The sequence below is a fragment of the Homo sapiens genome, chromosome 15, assembly GCF_000001405.40.
Source record: "Homo sapiens chromosome 15, GRCh38.p14 Primary Assembly".
In the NCBI taxonomy this organism is placed as follows: Eukaryota; Metazoa; Chordata; class Mammalia; order Primates; family Hominidae; genus Homo; species Homo sapiens.
The window spans coordinates 65,483,700-65,502,794 of NC_000015.10; the positions used below are offsets into that span (position 1 = coordinate 65,483,700).

General features: G+C 41.9%; 1 protein-coding gene across 32 annotated transcripts in view; it reads right to left on the bottom strand.

Moving 5' to 3' along the window:
* DPP8 (dipeptidyl peptidase 8) overlaps window positions 1-19,095 on the bottom strand; it is a 75,223-nt gene that overhangs the window by 41,233 nt on the left and 14,895 nt on the right. For 20 of the 32 annotated variants that reach the window (NR_135485.2, NR_135486.2, XR_007064467.1 and 17 more), the window contains 5 exons: window positions 16,907-17,080; window positions 14,165-14,333; window positions 6,490-6,600; window positions 3,991-4,119; window positions 1,400-1,461 (listed from right to left, as the gene is read on the bottom strand). Coding sequence is in view for 27 of the 32 variants with exons in the window: in NM_017743.6 (NP_060213.2) it covers window positions 1,400-1,461; window positions 3,991-4,119; window positions 6,490-6,600; window positions 14,165-14,333; window positions 16,907-17,080 (645 nt within the window). In the remaining 5 variants the exon portion in view is untranslated. Of the gene's footprint in view, window positions 1-1,399; window positions 1,462-3,990; window positions 4,120-6,489; window positions 6,601-14,164; window positions 14,334-16,906; window positions 17,081-19,095 lie in introns of those variants that run through there. The other 12 variants (XR_007064468.1, NM_001438669.1, NM_001438667.1 and 9 more) reach the window with 4 other exon arrangements.

Below are 19,095 nucleotides of genomic sequence, written 5' to 3' on the forward strand. Positions count from 1 at the left end.
CCAATAACTCAACAATTCTACTCCTAGGTATATACTCCAGAGAAATGAAAACATAAGCCCACACAAAAACTTGTACACACATACTCATGGCAGCATTATTCATAATAGCCATAAAATGGAAACAATCAAAATGTTCATCACCTGATAAATACAATATGGTATATCCATATAAAGGTATTATTCATCAATTAAAAATAAATGAAGTATTGACACATGGTACAACATGGATGGACCTTGAAAACAATCTAAGTCAAGGAGACCAAACTACATATTGTATGATTCCACTTATATGAAATGTCCAGAATAGGCAAATTTATAGAGATAGAAAGTAGATTAATGGTTGTCTAGGCTGGGCACGGTGGCTCATGCCTGTAATCCCAGCACTTTGGAAGGCCGAGGTGGGCAGATCATGAGGTCAGGAGCTTGAGACCAGTCTGGTCAACATAGTGAAACCCCGTCTCTACTAAAAATACAAAAAATTGGCTGGGTGTGGTGGTGCGCCTGTAATTCCAACTACTCGGGAGGCTGAGGCAGGAGAATCATGTGAACCCAGAAGGCAGAGGCTGAAGTGAGCCAAGATCACGCCACTGCACTCCAGCCCGGGTGACAGTGCAAGACTCTGTCTCAAAAAAAAAAAAAAGGTTGCCTAGTGCTGGGGGATATGAGGAGGTTGGGGGATGACGGCTCAGGAGTATAGGGTATCTTTTTGAGGTAATAACAATGTTCTAAAACTGCCTGTGGTGATGGTTGCAAAACTCTGTGAATATACCAACAGCCACTGAATTTTAAAGTTTAAATAAATAAATCGTATTACATGTGAGTTATATATCTCAGTAAAGCTGTTTTTAAAAAAGTCTAGAAGAGGAAGACTGACTCGGGAGCCTCTCTCTCTCTGCAGGAGAGAAAGCTATTCTCTTTTCTCTTTCTTTCGCCTGTTAAACCTTGGCTCTTAACTCAAAAAAAAAAAAAAAAAAGTCTAGAAGAGCAAGACTTTTTTACCTAGTCTTGTGTGCATGCAGCTTATAAGCACTTGGCTGTCGAAATGGAAAGCAGAAGTACAAATTAACTGTGGGATATTTAATGCACCACAGATATCTACCCAACACAGAAGGTAACCAGTCAATAACTACCTTTTTTTCTTTTAACATTAATCTGGAGAATAAAGGCGAACAGAAAAACTATTGGAAAGGAGTGGTTAATATGCATATCCCCATATTCCCATCTTATGAACCAGCAGGATGATTTGCAAGTAAAAAATTAGGTCAATCTAAAATCATGATCCACCGATATCTCAGCAAGTTCAGCAAGTCCAAAAATAAAAAAGTGTATCAAAGAACCCTACTGGGCTGAATAGATTAGTCAAATGACGCAGAAGGTCAACTCAGCATTTTATACTTACCCTTCCTTCAGCATCAATCATTATTTCTGACATCTTAAAAGTGACTTTAGGATTTGCTGTACCTTTAGAAAGAGACATAAATGATAGTAATGTTTATCCAAAATTACTCAAATTAATTTTGCCAGATCAATCCTCTTTACACTTTAGTTAAGAATAACGTATAGGTCGGGTGCAGTGGCTCACGCCTGTAATCCCAGCACTTTGGCAGGTTGAGGCAGGTGGATCACCTGAGGTCAGGAGTTTGAGACCACCCTGGCCAACATGGTGAAACTCCATCTCTACTAAAAATACAAAAATTAGCTGGGCGTGGTGGTGTGCGCCTGTAATCCCAGCTACTTGGGAGGCTGAGGCAGGAGAATCACTTGAACCTGGGAGGTGGAGAATGCAGTGAGCTGACATCGTGCCACTGCCCTCCAGCCTCGGTAACAAGAGCGAGACTCCATCTCAAAAAAAAAAAAAAAAAAAAGAAAAGAAAGAAAGAGACATAAATGAATAGTAATGCTTACCCAAAATTACTCAAATTAATTTTGCCAGATCAATTCTCTTTACACTTTAGTTAAGTCAAGAGTAACGTATATGCCAGGCATGCTGTCTCACGCCTGTAATCCCAGCACTTTGAGAGGCCAAGGCAGGCAGATCACTTGAGCTCAGGAATTCAAGACCAGCTTGGTCAACATGGTAAAACCCCATATCTACAAAAAATACAAAAATTAGGCAGGGTGCAGTGGCTCACGCCTGTAATCCCAGCACTTTGGGAGGCCGAGGCAGGTGGATCACCTGAGGTCAGGAGTTTGAGACCAGCCTGACCAACATGGTGAAACCCCATCTCTACTAAAAATACAAAAATTAGCCAGGTGTGGTGGCACACGCCTGTAATCCCAGCTACTCAGGGGGCTGAGGCAGGAGAATTGCTTGAACTCGGGAGGCAGAGGTTGAAGTGAGCTGAGATCGTGCCACTGCATTCCAGCCTGGGCGACACAGCGAGACTCTGTCTCAAAAAAAAAAAAACAACACAAAAAAAACGGCCGGGCGCAGTGGCTCAGGCCTGTAACCCCAGCACTTTGGGAGGCTGAGGCAGGTAGATCACGAGGTCAGGAGTTCGAGACCAGCCTGGCCAACATGGTGAAACCCTGTTTCTACTAAAAATACAAAAATTAGCCAGGTGTGGCGGCGGGCGCCTGTAATCCCAGCTACTCGGGAGGCTGAGGCAGGAGAATCACTTGAACCTGGGAGGCGGAGGTTGTAGTGAGCTGAGATTGTGCCATTGCACTCCAGCCTGGGTGACAGAGCAAAAAAAAAAACAAAAACAAAAAACAAAAATTAGCCGCACCAGGCTGGTCGAGCTACTCAGGAGGCTGAGGTGGGAAAATGGCCTGAGCCCAGGAGGTGGAGGTATAGTGAGCCAAGATCACACCACTGCATTCCAGCCTGAATGACACAGCAAGACACTGTCTTAAAAAAGTAAAATAAAAATGAGGTGCTTGCCCATCAACCAACAAGTGGATTAAAAAAATGTAGTATATATACAACATGGAATTCAACAACTATTCAACCATAAAAAGGAACAAAATAATGGCATTCACAGCAACCTAGATGGAGCTGGAGACCATTATTCTAAGTGAAGTAACTCAAGAATGGAAAACCAAGTATCATGTTCTCACTGATAAGTGGGAGCTAAGCTATGAGGACACAAAGGCATAAGAATGATATAATGGACTTTGGGGACTCCAGAGGAAGGGTGGTGGGTGTGAGGAATAAAAGACTACACATTGGGTACAGTGTACACTGCTCGGGTGACGGGTGCACCAAAATCTCAGAAATCACCACTAGAGAACTTATCCATGTAACCGAAAACCACCTGTTCCTCAAAAACTACTGAAATAAAATTTAAAATAAAAAAAAGGGGGGCTGAAAAGAGCAAGAATGAAATAAAGTGAAAAGTGAAATTATGTATTATTTTTACAATTGAAATGCTGTAAGAAGCAAAATGGAAAAAAATCACTTATTATGAAAAATATCACTTAAAAATCTGTATTTGCTAGCAAAGACACCTTCTTTTTTTTTTTCTGAGATAGAGTTTCACTCTTGTTGCCTAGGCTGGAGTGCAATGGCATGATCTCAACTCACTACAACCTCTGCCTCTTGGGTTCAAGCAATTATCCTGCGTCAGCCTCCCAAGTAGCTGGGATTACAGGCATGCACCACCATGCCTGGCTAATTTTGTATTTTTAGTAAAGATGGGGTTTCACCATGTTGGTCAGGCTGGTCTCAAACTCCTGACCTCAAGTGATCCACCCACCTCAGCTTCCCAAAGTGCTGAGATTACAGACGTGAGCTACCACGCCCGGCGCAAAGATACCTTCTAATTCATTCCTTGAGGAAACCAATTGTGTAGACATCCCTACCTTTGAAAAGAATCAAAAAGATCACCCTTTAATTCAAAATCTATTTTTGTGGTACTTAGTGAACAACCCGTCGTAAATAAGGCTGGAAATGACCAATGTTGTTGGCTACACCTTTGGATGACTACAGAAAGAATCTTATTTGGAAAGAGGAAATGAGTGAATATAAATGCCAATGGAGTACAGTACCTGTTTTAGGATAACGGAATGAATCTGCCCTCCTTGTTTCCAACATAGGGGATGTAACATGAATAATTTCCACCTCAGATTCATCATTTTCTTCATATAGAATTCTAAGAATTTTACCACCACTGGGAGCTTAAAAGAAATTTAAATATTGAAAATTTAGAAGAATTATTCCAGAGAGTAGTCATAACCAACCGTTCCTTCTAGTATCAGATTTCTTATAGTGAAGAATAACTTATGTATAAAATATGCTGCCTTTTTTGTAGGAAAATATCACTAGTCTTTGCAGTAGCAAGGTGAGTTATTGTTAAGCCACTTCTTTTGGAGGGAAAACAACTGGAGATGATATGTATACATATTTTTAAAACAGGGAAAAACATTTTTGTAGGACTTTGTTCTTGCATACCATAAAATGCATTCTTTGTTGAAAAATGAAATATTTAATTACATGTATAATATTTCCTATTAAAAAAATAAATACTACTTAAATACAGTTCAGTTGTTTTGAATAGTTTCTGTATTTATGTAAAAATCATCTTCTAACAAATACAACAAAACATTTCACATCTTAAAATAAAATGTCCAAATCCAAGACATGGCTTAAAAGTATTTTTCAGGGTCTCTTAGAGAAGCGTTCAGACTGCTAGCTCCAAACCATGAGTAGGTCATGAAATCTGTTAACGGGTCATAATCAGTATTTTTTAAAATACAACACACAAACCACACCCTGGGCAACACGGCAATACCCCATCTCTAAAAAAAAATACAAAAATTAGCTGGGTGTAGTGGCTTGTGCCTGTAGTCCCAGGTACTTGAGAGGCTGAGGTGAGAGGATTGCTTGAGCCCGGGAGGCAGACTTTGCAGTGAGCTGAGATTGCACCACTGCACTCCAGCCTGCACAACAGAGACCCTGCCTCAAAAAAAAAAAAAAAAAAAAAAAAACCCAAAAACAAAAACAAAACAGCATAACAGTATCAGGGAGCATTACACATAAGAATAAGTATTGCTTCTTGAAATTCGTTTTCAGTTTTATCTATACAGTATATGTATTAGGCCACAATATAAGTACACTTCTAACTGGATCATGGTCAAAAAGTTTGAAGGCCATGCTTTAGTGAGCTTCTTCTCAGAGAGTGAGATACTTGTGAATTTGCCACAAGAAGGGGAGGAATTTTTTCCCTTTTATCCTATCCATTCATATACTGATTTGGTCATCTGTTTAACAGACTCTCTAGTCAATCACACATTTTTATAGCAACACATTAAGGTGTGGTTTTTTGTTTGTTTGTTTTCGAGACGGAGTCTCGCTCTGTTGCCAGGCTGGAGCAGAGTGGCGCAATCTCAGCTCACTGCAATCTCCACCTCCCGGGTTCAATTGATTCTTCTGCCTCAGCCTCCCGAGTAGCTGGGACTACAGGTGCATACCACCACACCCAGCTAATTTTTTGTATTTTAGTAGAGATGGGGTTTCACCATGTTGGCCAGGATAGTCTCGATCTCCTGACCTCATGATCCGCCCGCCTTGGCCTCCCAAAGTGCTGAGATTACATGCGTGAGTCACTGCGCCCAGCCAAGGTGTGGTATTTTTTATTTTGCCACCAATGCTGCCAGCATTACCAAGACCAGCCTCTAGGAGAAAAACTGGCAAAGAGAATTGAGGGGCCAGAGGCATTAAACCACAATACAATGGTTTTTACTAGACTTCATTATGATGAAATATAATCTACTTTTTTTTTTTTTTTTTTGAGACAGAGTCTCGCTGTGTCGCCCAGGCTGGAGTGCAGTGGCGTGATCTTGGCTCATTGCAAGCTCCACCTCCCAGGTTCACGTCATTCTCCTGCCTCGGCCTCCTGAGTAGCTGGGACTACAGGCGTCCCCCACCATGCCCAGCTAATTTTTTTTTTTTTTTTTTGAGTAGAGGCAGGGTTTCACGGTGTTAGCCAGGATGGTCTCGATCTCCTGACCTCGTGATCCACCTGCCTCAGCCTTCCAAAGTGCTGGGATTACAGGCGTAAGCCACCACGCCCGGCCATAATGTACATATTTTTGAGACAAAGTTTTGCTCTCATTGCCCAAGCTGGAGTGCAATAGTGTGATCTTGGCTCACTGTAACCTCTGTCTCCTGGGTTCAGGCGATTCTCCTGCTTCAGCCTCCCGCGTAGCTGGGATTACAGGCGCGTGCTACCATGCCCGGCTAATTTTTTGTATTTTTATTAGAAACGGGGTTTCATCATGTTAGCCAGGCTGGTCTCGAACTCCTGACCTCGGGTGATCCGCCTGCCTCGGCCTCCCAAAGTGCTGGGATTACAGGTGTTAGCCACTGTGCCCAGCCTAATCTACATATTTTAAATAACTATGGGCATGAATCAATCATCATCACTTTGGAATCTATTATCCGCTTTCAAATCTATTATCCAAGATTTAGAACTGTGCACTTAAATGACAGTTGAATCTTAACAATACTTTAATTGACCCATAATATATTATTTTGAACCCCCTTACTTGTTTCAGCTTTTGGACACCACCAATAGCCAGAATATCTATCAAATTCTTCTTGGAGAACAAAGGTAGCGACTCCAGCTGATCTGGCATCTTCTTCCATGTTGGCTAGCTCTAGACAAATATAAAAGGCAAAATTATCACAGAAAGCTATCTTTTCATAGGTACAAAGCAAAATGATTCAGTTTATTTGGAAAGGTGGCTGGAATACAGTGGTAAACTCTGGAGCTGAACGGACTGAGTTCAAATCTGGGGTCCATAATGTCTGACTTTGGGCAAATCATCCAATCTCATTCCACTGCAGTATCCCATTTGTAAATGAGAAAAGGCTACCTTGTGAGGTTGATATGAAGATTAAATTAATTAATTCACATAAAGCACTTAGAACAAAGCCTGGACCACAGTACATGCTCCAAATAAATGTTATTATTTTCCCAATTAGCAGGATCATGGAAAAAAGATTACAAGAAAAGGAGCACAGTATAGGGGACATATAACTCTCTTACACAGAGAAGTATATTTTAGACCTAGAGTGAATCTTATAGGTCATATAATTCGACCATTCTTCTTTCATCTCATTCAGTTGGAGCAGCTCAGCTTTCATCTGTTTTACACTTAGGTTTCCAGCAAATAGTTTGAAGGGGACTCGTTTTAAAAGAAAACCACAAAGCCATAATTATGTAAGATTTTGAGGCCAGGCGTGGTGGCTCATGCCTGTAATCCCAGCACTTTGGGAGGCCGAGGAGGACAGATCACAAGGTCAGGAGTTTGAAACCAGCCTGGCCAATATGGTGAAACTCTGTCTCTACTAAAAATACAAAAATTAGCCAGGCATGGTGCCAGGAGCCTGTACTCTCAGCTACTCAGGAGTCTGAGGCAGGAGAATCGCTTGAACCCGGGAGGTGGAGGTTGCACTGAGCCAAGATCACAACACCACTCCCCTCCAGCCTGGGTGACAGAACAAGACTCCGTCTCAAAAAAAAAAAAAAAAAAAAAAGATTTTGTGTCATGAGGAAATGTTTACAATATACTTGAATAAAATAAATCAGATTATTGAATAGCATTTATACTGTGATTCCATTTATAAAAATGCATTTTTAAAAAGTGCTGATATAAACTGAAATATGGTTATCTCCAAGCAGTGAGATTTTGAGTAGGATTTAAAAATTGCTTTATAATTTACAAATTCTTAAATGTACTGTTTATTTTTGAAAAATACATATACTTGTATGACCACATCCCTATCGCCACTTACACTTCCAGTACTCATGCTCCTTCCCAGTCAAGGCCCAGTCCCAACACAGAAACAATCACTGATCTGATTTCTATCACCAGAGGTCAGGTTTGCATATTCTAGAAGTTCATGTAAATGAAATCATACAGTATGTATATATTTGTTTGGCTTCTTTTGAGTTTCAATATTGTTACATGTGTCAGTAGTTAGTTGCTGTTTACTGCTGAGTTGTATTCCATTGCATACCATAGTTCTTTTATCTGTTAATGGATATCTTGTCTGTTTCCAGTTTCTGGCTATTATGACTAAAGATGCTATGAACATTTTTTTTGAGACGGAGTCTCGCTCTGTTGCCCAAACTGGAGTGCAGTGGCGTGATCTCGGCTCACTGCAAGCTCCACCTCCCGGGTTCACGCCATTCTCCTGCCTCAGCCTCCCAAGTAGCTGGGACTACAGGTGCCCGCCACGATGCCCGGCTAATTTTTTCTATTTTTAGTAGAGACGGGGTTTCACTGTGTTAGCCAGAATGGTCTTGATCTCCTGACCTCGTGATCCACCCACCTCGGCCTCCCAAAGTGCTGGGATTACAGGCGTGAGCCACCACGCCCGGCCACATTATTACTGTGTAAGAATTTTTGTGGGCCAGGCGCAGTGGCTCACGCCTGTAATCCCAACACTTTGGGAGGCTGAGGAGGGCAGACTGCTTGAGCTCAGGAGTTTGAGACCAGCCTTGGCAACATAGTGAAACCCCGCCTCTACAAAAAATACAAAATTTAGCCAGGTGTGATGGCAGGTGCCTATGGTCCCAGTTACTCGGGAGGCTGAGGTAGGAGAATCACTTGAGTCTGGGAGAAGGAGGATGCAGTGAGCCGAGATCATGCCACTGCACTCCAGCCTGGGTGACAGAGTGAGACCATGTCTCAAAAAAGAAAAAAAAGGGAATTTTTGAGAACATGTGTTTTTATTTCTAAGTAAATACCTACGAGTAATATGGCTGGTTAGTGTGGTAAGTGTGTGTTTAACTTCATAAGAAAGTGCCAAACAGTTATCCAAAGTATTTCTATTATTTTATATTATTACTATCAAAGTATGAAAGTTCTTCTCCAACATTTGGTGTTCTCAATATTTCTCACTGTAGCCAGTCTAGTAGGCATTACATATCTCATAGTGACTTTAATTTTTTATTTTATTTTTGAGACAGGGTCTTGCTCTGTCACCAAGGGTAGAGCGCAGGGGTGAGATCTCGGGTCACTGCAGCCTTCATCTCCTGGGCTCAAGCAATCCTCCTGTCTCAGCCTCCCAAGTAGCTGGGACACAGGCATATGTCACTAAGCCCAGCTAATTTTTTAAAAAATTTTTGTAGAGATGAGGTCTCATTATGTTTCCCAGGCTGGTCTCAAACCCCTGAGCTCAAGTAATCCTCTCACCTTGGCCCCCCAAAGTGCTAGGATTACAGGTGTGAGCCACTGCACCTGGCCTGATTTTAATTTTACCAGCAAGTTTTATTATTTTTGCTTATTTATATTTTCTATATAGTCTGACATAATGTACAGTGCAAACCAATGATTTTTTTATCCAAAAAGTTTGAATCCAAAAAGAAATATTTGGAATTCAGAATTTGGGAGAGCTCTTTTCTTTCTTTTCTTTCCTTTTCTGTTTTCTTTCTTTCTCTCTTTTTTTTTAGACGGAGTTTTGCTCTTGTTGCCCAGGCTGGGGTGCAATAGCTCCATCTCAGCTCACCGCAACCTCCACTTCCTGGGTTCAAGCGATTCTCCTGCCTAAGCCTCCTGAGTAGCTGGGATTACAGGCGTGTGCCACCACCCCGGCTAATTTTGTATTTTTAGTAGAGACAGGGTTTCTCCATGTTGGTCAGGCTGGTCTTGAACTCCCGACCTCAGGTGATCTGCCTGCCTCGGCCTCCCAAAGTGCTGGGATTACAGGGGTGAGCCACCGTGCCCGGCCAAGATTTTTCATATATTGTACATCTACCATAATACATTATGTAATATCTCCAGCAGGGTAACCAAATACCTTGCAATCATATACACCAATATTCCTGCAGTAAACTTATGAATAGGCACACTACACAGATAAGCATATTAAGTTTATCAATATCCTCAGGTCACTTCAGGTCAGGTGTTACTGCCAAATGAATTTTAGTAACAACCTAATGAAAACTAAGCTCAGTTTTCAAAGTGTTTTGAATTCTGGAATTAATTACAGAGCCAAGACTATGAAGATAAGTAACCCCCATTTGTATCTTCCTACTGTTTATTATAGACTTCCATTATTATTTATTAAATGAATAAATAGTATCATCTCATTGTCTCAGTAAGTCATTTGAGAGCAGAAGCTAGGATTTTATTACTTTTAAATTCCTCTATCACCAGGCAAAGAATAAACACATGTACATACTGATAGACCAAATCCATCTCAAGTGGACTTTCACTTAGAAACCTATTGTGAGTAAGTGGAATAAGCTGATGACATTAACTCCCTACCTACTTTCTATCTAAGCACATACTTACACAACAGTTACTATGTTTCAGGCACTATCCTGAATACTTCATAGATATTAACTCATTAAAGCCTCCTAACAACCCTATGTTGATGTGCTATTAATTAATATCTGTTTTTACAGATGTGGAAACTAAGAGATGGTTAAATAACCTGCTCAAGGCCACACAGTTAATAAATGGTAGACTTGAAATTCAAACCGGTTCTATATCCTTTTTTTTTTTTTTAGAGACAGGGTCTCTCTCTTTCATCTGCCACCAAGGCGGGAGTGCAGTGGTGCAATTATAGCTCACTCCAAGTCTGGAGTGCAGTGGTGCAAATACAGTCACTCCAAGGCTGGAGTGCAGTGGTGCAACAGAGCCTGACTATCCATGCTCAAGTGATCCTCCTACCTCGGCTCCCAGAGTAACTGAGAAACGGGTGCATGACACCATGTCTGGGTAATTTTTATTATTTTTTATTTTTTTGTAGAGACAGGGTCTCCCTACATTGCCCAGGCTGGTCTTGAACTCCTGGGCTCAAGAGCTCTTCCCACCTTGGCCTCCCAAAGTGCTGGGAGACCTCATCTCTACAAAAAAAATTAAAAATTAGGTAGGCGTGGTGGCACACACCTGTTGTCTCAGCTATTCAGGGGTGCTGAGGTGGGAGGATTGCTGCAGCCCCGTGAAGACTGCAGTGAGCCAATAGGAGACCCTGTCTCAAAAAAATTGAAAAAAAAAAAAAAAAGGGCATGAAAAAATCGCTAGGATTTCCAAAACAGATTTACTAACTACCAACCTAATCTTTCTACTGCCATTGGTAGTAGAACAGCTGTTCTGATTTCCTGACTTCAAAGGGAGACCCATTAAACACCAAAATCTATACTTTTAACTTAAGATTTTCCTTACTCCATCCCCTTTTCTCTATCCTATGCTCTAGATTTAGGCCATATAACTTGGATAACTGCAACAGTCAAGCTTTGGTGTTCCTGTCTCTACCCATGCTTCTCAAATTTAACCTCCACAAAGTATCCAGAACAACTTATCGACAATATGATTATGATGATCACACCACTCAACTGTTAAAAACCTTTCCATGGACCCTCATATCATGATAAAGTCCATGTTCTTTTACAGAAGATATGGTCTACCCTTGTCCTGGCCCTTATCTGCCAATCTTTTGCTACTTCTTGACTCAGAACTTATGCTTCAGAACCTTCACACTGCTTCTAACTCCTCACAAACACCATGATGTCTTTTGCATCAAGACCTTTCTCACGTAGTCCCCTTGTCAGGAGTGTACTGGATAATATATAGACATTACTTAGGATCAGTTTAGGTGTCATCTTTTCTGGAAAGCCTTCCCTGACCACTGTCTCACATTGGTGCTCTTATAAAACCCTATGTCTGGCCAGGTGCTGTGGCTCTCGCCTGTTCTCAGCACTTTGGGAGGCAGAGGTGGACGGATCACTTGAGGTCAGGAGTTCAACACCAGCCTGGTCAACATGGTGAAACCCCGTCCCTACTAAAAATACAAAAATTAACCAGGTGTGGTGGTGTGCACCTGTAATCCCAGCTACTCAGGAGGCTGAGGGATGAGAATCACTTGAACGCAGGAGGCAGAGGTTACAGTGAGCTGAGATAGCCCACTGCACTCCAGCCTGGGCAATAGAGCGAGACTTTGTTACAAAAAACAAACAAACAGGCTGAGCACGGTGGCTCGTGCCTGTAATCCCAGCACTTTGGGAGGCCGAGGTGGGTGTATCACGAGGTCAGAAGATTGAGAACACCCTGGCCAACATGGTGAAACCCCGTCTCTACTAAAAATACAAAAAAATTAGCCGGTAATCCCAGCTACTCGGGAGGCTGAGGCAGGGGAATCACCTGAACCCGAGAGGCGAAGGTTGCAGTGAGCAGAGATCACACCACTGCACTCCAGCCTGGGTGACACAGTAAGACTCTGTCTCAAAAACAAACAACAACAAAAAAGAACAAAAAAACAAACTTGAGAGAATATGTATCATTTTGTTTTCCAACCTGTAACATATCTGTTAACAATGATTTTCTTTCTTTTTTCTTTTTTTTTTTAGACGGAGTGTCCCTCTGTCGCCCAGGCTGGAATGCAGTGGTGTGATCTCAGCTCACTGGAAGCTCCGCCTCCTGGGTTCACATCATTCTCCTGCCTTGGCCTCCTTAGTAGCTGGGACTACAGGCACCCGCCACCACGCCCGGCTAATTTTTTGTAGTTTTCGTAGAGACAGGGTTTCACTGTGTTAGCCAGGATGGTCTCGATCTCTTGACCTCGTGATCTGCCCGCCTCGGCCTTCCAAAGTGCTAGGATTACAGGCATGAACCGTGGCGGCTGGCCTGTAATTAATTTTAACTAATGATTGATGATGATGAGGGGATAATGATTAAGAAAGATGACAGTAAATCAGCTTTGTGAACATAAGATTAAGCAAAAGTTAGACAAAAGAATTTTCAGTCATCATCTTCATTATGGTACTTAAACTCTGGTTCACGTGTTCAAAGAAAAAGCAATACACTATTTCCCATCTTTCATTTGTATGAAACCTTTAGAGGAAACCATTCACATCTCTCTGTGCTTTGAATAGTGCTTAGTATTATCATAGCCACTTCAATAAAACTTAATTAAATATTCCCACAATATACATAGTTCTACAAAGTTCTATTTTTTCTATTATGACAATAACTAAGTAGGCTCTCCAAAACTGAAAGATAATTTTTTTTTTTGAGACAGGGTCTCACTCTGTCACCCAGGGTGCAGTGCAGTGGCGCAATCACGTTTCACTTTAGCCTCGACCTCCTAGGCTTGAGTGATCCTCCTCCCTCAGTCTCCTAAGTAGCTGGGACTACTGGCACGTGCCACCACATCCAGCTATTTTTTTTTTTTTTGGTAGAGACAATGTCTTACCATGTTGTCCAGGCTCAAGTGATCTACCCGCCTCAGTCTCAAGTAGTTTTATTTTTTTGAGACAGGGTCTTGCTCTCTTGCCCAGGCTGGAGTGCAGTGGCGCAGTCTCAGCTAACTGCAACCTCCACCTCCCAGGTTCAAGCAATTCTCCCGCCTCAACCTCCCTAGTAGCTGGGAATTACAGGTGTGCACCACCATTCCGGCTAATTTTTGTATTTTTAGTAGAGACAGGGTTTCATCACGTTGGCCAGACTAGTCTAGAACTCCTGACCTCAGGTGATCCACCTGCCTTGGCCTCCCAAAGTGCTTGGGACTACAGGCATGAGCCACCACGCCCGGCCTCAAGTAGTTTCTTAGAGTGTGTAATTGGTTTTTCTATCTGTTTCTCAAAAACAAAACTAATTTTTAAAAATGTATTTATTTATTTATTTAATTTTGAAACAGAGTCTCACTTTGTCACCCAGGTTGGAGCGCAATGGCTCACCATAGCCTTGACCTCCTGGATCAGGTGATCCTCCTACCTCAATCTCCCAGGTAGTTGGGACTACACATGCCACTACGCTCAGCTAATTTTTTGTATTTTTTTGTCAAACGAGGTGTCACCATGTTGCCCATCCTGATCTTGAACTTCTGGGCTCAAACAATCTGCCTGCCTCAGCCTCCCAGAGTGCTAGGATTACAGGCATGAGCCACCATGCCTAGCCTAAAATTTTATTTTAATAAGAACAGTTTTGGGAAAATTCTGGCAGTCTTAGCAAGCTAAAAGAACAATCATGTCAGAGGTTCTTTTGTTTCACTGTTTGAAAATGAACATTAAAACATTAAAATGAATATTATACATGTGGTACATACAAGTTATCCTCTGTACTTTTCTCCATTTTTTAAAAATTTTAAAGACTTGAATTTCAAATATAAAGATCACCCAACGTGGTAATCTAATTTCAAAATGCAAGCAGCAAATTATACTTCAAAAAATACTGTTCAGAAAAGTAAATCTGAAGAACTACGCCTTACCATTGTGCACATAAGTGAGTCTCCTTTCTTCTCTGGTTACGATGTTAGATATCCAAATATCGTTGCTATGTATAAAAGCAATCCAGTCTGGATCAGCAGGGCATAATTTTGGATCCATCCGTATGTTGGGACAACTAGTTTCCACTAGATTGGGCCTTAAAGGTTGTTGCTAGAAAAGTAAACAACATTTTAAGGTAAGTATTAGGCTGACACATACATGTTCCAGCACCCTTCCTATAAGATGAACAATATTTCTAGGTAAAATGTCAACAATGAGGCCGGGCGTGGTGACTTACGCCTGTAATCCCAGCACTTCGGGAGGCCAAGGCAGGCAGATCACCTGAAGTCAGGAGTTCGAGACCAGCCTGACCAACATAGTGAAACCCCATCTCTACCAAAAATACAAAAATTAGCTGGGCATAGTGGTGGGCACCTGTAGTCCCAACTACTTGGGAGGCTGAGGCAGGAGAATTGCTTGAACCTGGGAGGTGGATGTTGCAGTGAGCCAAGATCGTGCCACTGCACTCCAACCTGGGTGACAAAGTGAGACTCAGTATCAGGAAAAAAAAAAAAAGTCAACAATGATAATTGCTTCCCAGAAAAATATACTTTCTATTGCCTTAACTTACCAGAAAGGAATTTTTTTTAACTTCAAATGAAAAAGCTAAGGGTAACAGGAGAGGACATAAAGGACATAAAGACAATAAAACACTACTTCATAAATTTTGTTGCCCAACCTGTTTAAGAGAGTAATTACTGTTCATTAAACATTGTTATTAAACACTTATTCACTCAATATTTTATTAAATATTTTAAAATTATTTTTACCAATATAAAATAGTTTGCTCATAAAAATGTAATAGAAGCCAGGATCATCACAATTCTCAAAAGAAGAGTTCCTAAAGCTCATAATCAATTGCCTAGGATAAAACCAAACATAAGCCACTTGAGAGGCTAAGGCAAGAGGATCACTTGAGCCTAAAGTCCAAGACAAGCTGGGGCAATCTAGTGGGACCCTCACCTCTAAAAAAAATTTTTTAAATTAGTAATTGGGTGTGGTGGCACATATCTGTAGTCCCAGCTACTCAGGAGGCTGAGGTGGGAGGATTGCTTGAGCCCAGGAGTTTGAGGCTGCAGTGAGCCATGATCTTGCCACTGCACTCCAGCCTGGATGACAGCAAGACTTTGTCTCCCCCCCAAAAAAAAAGTGTGTGTGTGTGTGTGTGTGTGTGTGTGTGTGTGTATATATAAATTTATTAAGATGAATTAGCTTTCAAGGGAAACAAAAAATTGTCTTTTGATAATGATCTTCCAAAACCTCCCTCAGTGCTTACACAGGAAGTGGGAATTGATGCCCGTTACCTTTCCTTTTTTTTTTTCTCTCTCTCTTAGTCTCACTCTGTCGCCCAGGGTGGAGGACAGTAGAGCGATCTCAGCTCACTGCAACCTCCATCCAACTCCCAGATTCAAGCAATTCTCGTGCTTCAGCCTCCCGAGTAGCTAGGACTACAGGTGCGCCTGCCTAATTTTTGTGTTTTTAGTAGAGACAGGGTTTCACCATGTTGGCCAGACTGATCTCAAACTCCTGATCTCAAGTGATCTGCCCGCCTCAGCCTCCCAAAGTGCTGGGATTACAGGTGTGAGCCACCATGCATGGCCTACTCTATCTTTCTATACAGCAAGTATTTTTACCACTTTAAAATTTGTATGTTTTTTTTTAAGACAGGGACTTGCTCTGTCATCCACGCTAAAGTGCAGCAGCACAATCTCGGTGCACTACAACCTCCGCCTCCCAGGCTCAAATGATCCTCCCACCTCAGCTTCCTGAGTAGCTGGGACTACAGGCGCATGCTACCTTGCCTGGCTAATTTTTGCATTTTTTGTAGAGATGGGGTTTCGCCATGTTTCCCCACGCTGGTCTGGAACTCCTAGGCTCAAATGATCTGCCCACATGGGCCTCCCAAAGTGCTGGAATTATGGGTGTGAGCCACCACGTCTGACCTAAAAATGGTATCTTAATGTAACTAGAAAGATTATTAACTCTTTTGTTTTGAGATAAGGTTTTGGTCTGTCATCTAGGCTGGACTGCAGTGGCACAATCACAGTTCACTGCAGCTTGACCTCCAGGTTCAAGTGATCCTCCCACCTCAGACTCCTGAGTATCTGGGATTAAAGGTGTGCACCACCATGCCCAGCTAAGTTTTTTTAAATTTTTTTTTGTAGAGACAGGGTCTCTCTCTGTTGCCTGAGCTGGTAAAAAAATTATCTCCTAAGGCTGGGCGCGGTGGCTCATGTCTGTAATCCTAGCACTTTGGGAGGCCGAGATGGGCAGATAACCTGAGGTCAGGAGTTCAAGACCAGCCTGACCAACATGGAGATACCCCATCGCTACTAAAAATACAAAATTAGCCAGGGGTGGTGGCGCATGCCTGTAGTCCCAGCTACTTGGGAGGCTGAGGCAGGAGAATCACTTGAACCCAGGAGGCAGAGGTTGCGGTGAGCCAAGACGGCACCATTGCACTCCAGCCTGGGCAACAACAGTGAAATTCTGTCTCAAAAAAAAAAAAAATCGCTCTTAAAATTGGAAACCAATCTCCATGTTTCTTGTTTTCATTGCTATTAAATTTCTTTGTTGGTGGGTAAACTGAAGTTGCTGGTTTGTTTATTAATTACCTTTCTGCTTTGGGTACAAATAACCTTTTGGACCCAAACCAGATTTAATCACTAGCAACTCCAACTTACCGTAAATCCTTGTGGCCCTCCATCTTTTACGTGATAAATTCCACTACCGGCTTGAAACAGAAATGTTCCACTTCCTTGGTGATAATCGTAAGAAGCAATTCCGACTGTTCCAATGCGTTTTCTTTCTCTTAATAGTTCTTCTTCTCGAGAATACATTCCATAGTCCAGTGTTGCCTAATGTGAAAGGAAAGTCACCTATTCCAGTCTTCTGAAAAACCATCTTTTGCTTTTAGCACTGAAATCCTAGAATCTCCAACATTATTGACTCTTTTTTTTTTTTTTTTTTTTTTGAGACAGAGTTTCACTCTGTCACCCAGGCTGGAGTGCAGTGGAGCGATCTTGGCTCACTGCAAGCTCTGCCTCCCGGGTTCACACCATTCTCCTGCCTCAGCCTTCCTAGTAGCTGGGACTACAGGCGCCCGCAACCACGCCCAGCTAATTTTTTGTGTTTTTAGTAGAGACGGGGTTTCACCGTGTTAGCCAGGATGGTCTCCATCTCCTGACCTCGTGATCCGCCTGCCTCGGCCTCCCAAAGTGCTGGGATTACAGGCGTGAGACACCGCGCCTGGCGACTCTACATTTTTTTTTTCAGCCTTCTAATTCACTGAGCACAGTCTGCAGGTTAAGTGACCCCAAAATTTGCTGGCAACTTTAAGCAGATTAATTTTAGGAAGTCTGCTGAAAGATTTCCTAGTAAAGAGTCTTTAGATGATTACTGTATACATTAGAGAACAAGAATAAAGTCCAATCATGTTAGCATTCAAGACTTTCTACAACTTAACTATAATTTAGTAGCCAGCATGCAATTAAGAGCACAGACTTCTAAGTCAAGTGGTTTGAATCCAAGCTTTGACCCTTCACTAGAAGTCTAACCTTGAGAAAGTAGCTTAATTTATTCAAAAGTAATTTTCTTCATTTTCAAAATAGTAATAAATCATCTATATCAGCTTTGTGAAGATTAATTTAGATAAAATATGTACAATGTTTAGCACAATGACTGACACAGAGTAAGCTCTCAAATTTGTCAGCTGTTATTAAAACCTTTCCACTACACTAGCAATACTCCTCTTAATAAAACCTTAGAGGTCAAGCTGGTCACATCACTGATCTGAATAAAACTCAATGAGTGGTTTTCTGTCTCCTGGTCTTTGTCTGTTCTACCCCTCTTCCCTGGACTCTTGGAAGAATGTTTTTCTTTCTACCTATCCCAGTTTACTTATACCCCAAAACCTTGCTTGAATTCTCAGCTAGCAAAGTTTTCCAATTCACTATTTCACAGTGATTTCTTTCTTTCTTTCTTTGAGACAAAACTCTCACTCTGTTGCCCAGGCTGGAGTGCCGTGGCGTGATCTCAGCTCACTACAACCTCTGCCTCCTGGATTCAGGTGATTCTCATGCCTCAGCCTCCTGAGTAGGTGGGATTACACACTTGTGCCACCACGCCCAGCTAATATTTTGCATTTTTAGTAGAAATGGAGTTTCGCCATGTTGGCCAGGCTGGTCTCAAACTCCTGGCCTCAAGTGATCTGCCCACCTCCGCCTCCCAGCATTGGGATTACAGGTGTGAGCCACCAAGCCTGGCCCTCATGAAAGAAGTGATTTCTTTCATTTATGTCCTAAATTATTTATAGGAGTTACTGTCTGTTACTTATTTAACTATGGTATTGTTTTTCACTTTTTCAGGATATTTGCTAAATGGAAAAAAAAAAAAAACTTCAGAGCAGAATCTCTGTGATTTTCTTTTCCTACTTAAAACATATTTGTTATAATGTCTCTCAAAGAAAGTTTGTGGCTGGGCGTGGTGGCTCATGCCTGTAATCCCAGTACTTTAGGAGGTCAAGGCAGGTGGATCACCCGTGGTCAGGAGTTCAAATCCAGCCTGGCCAACACAGTGAAACCTCGCCTCTACTAAAAATACAAAAATTAGCCGAGCATGCTGGTGCGCATCTGTAGTCCCGGCTACTCAGAAGGCTGAGGCAGGAGAATCACTTGAACCTGGGAGGCGGAGGTTGCAGTGAGCCAAGATCACGCCACTGCATTCCAGCCTGGGCAACAGAGCAAGAAAGTGTCTCAAAAAAAAAAAATAATAAGATAAAATAAAATAAAATTCTACTTAAAATGTTATTTAAAAAATAGGCTGACCCAATAGTAGTGGGTTATCGGAACTTATTAACATTAGTGTCACTAAA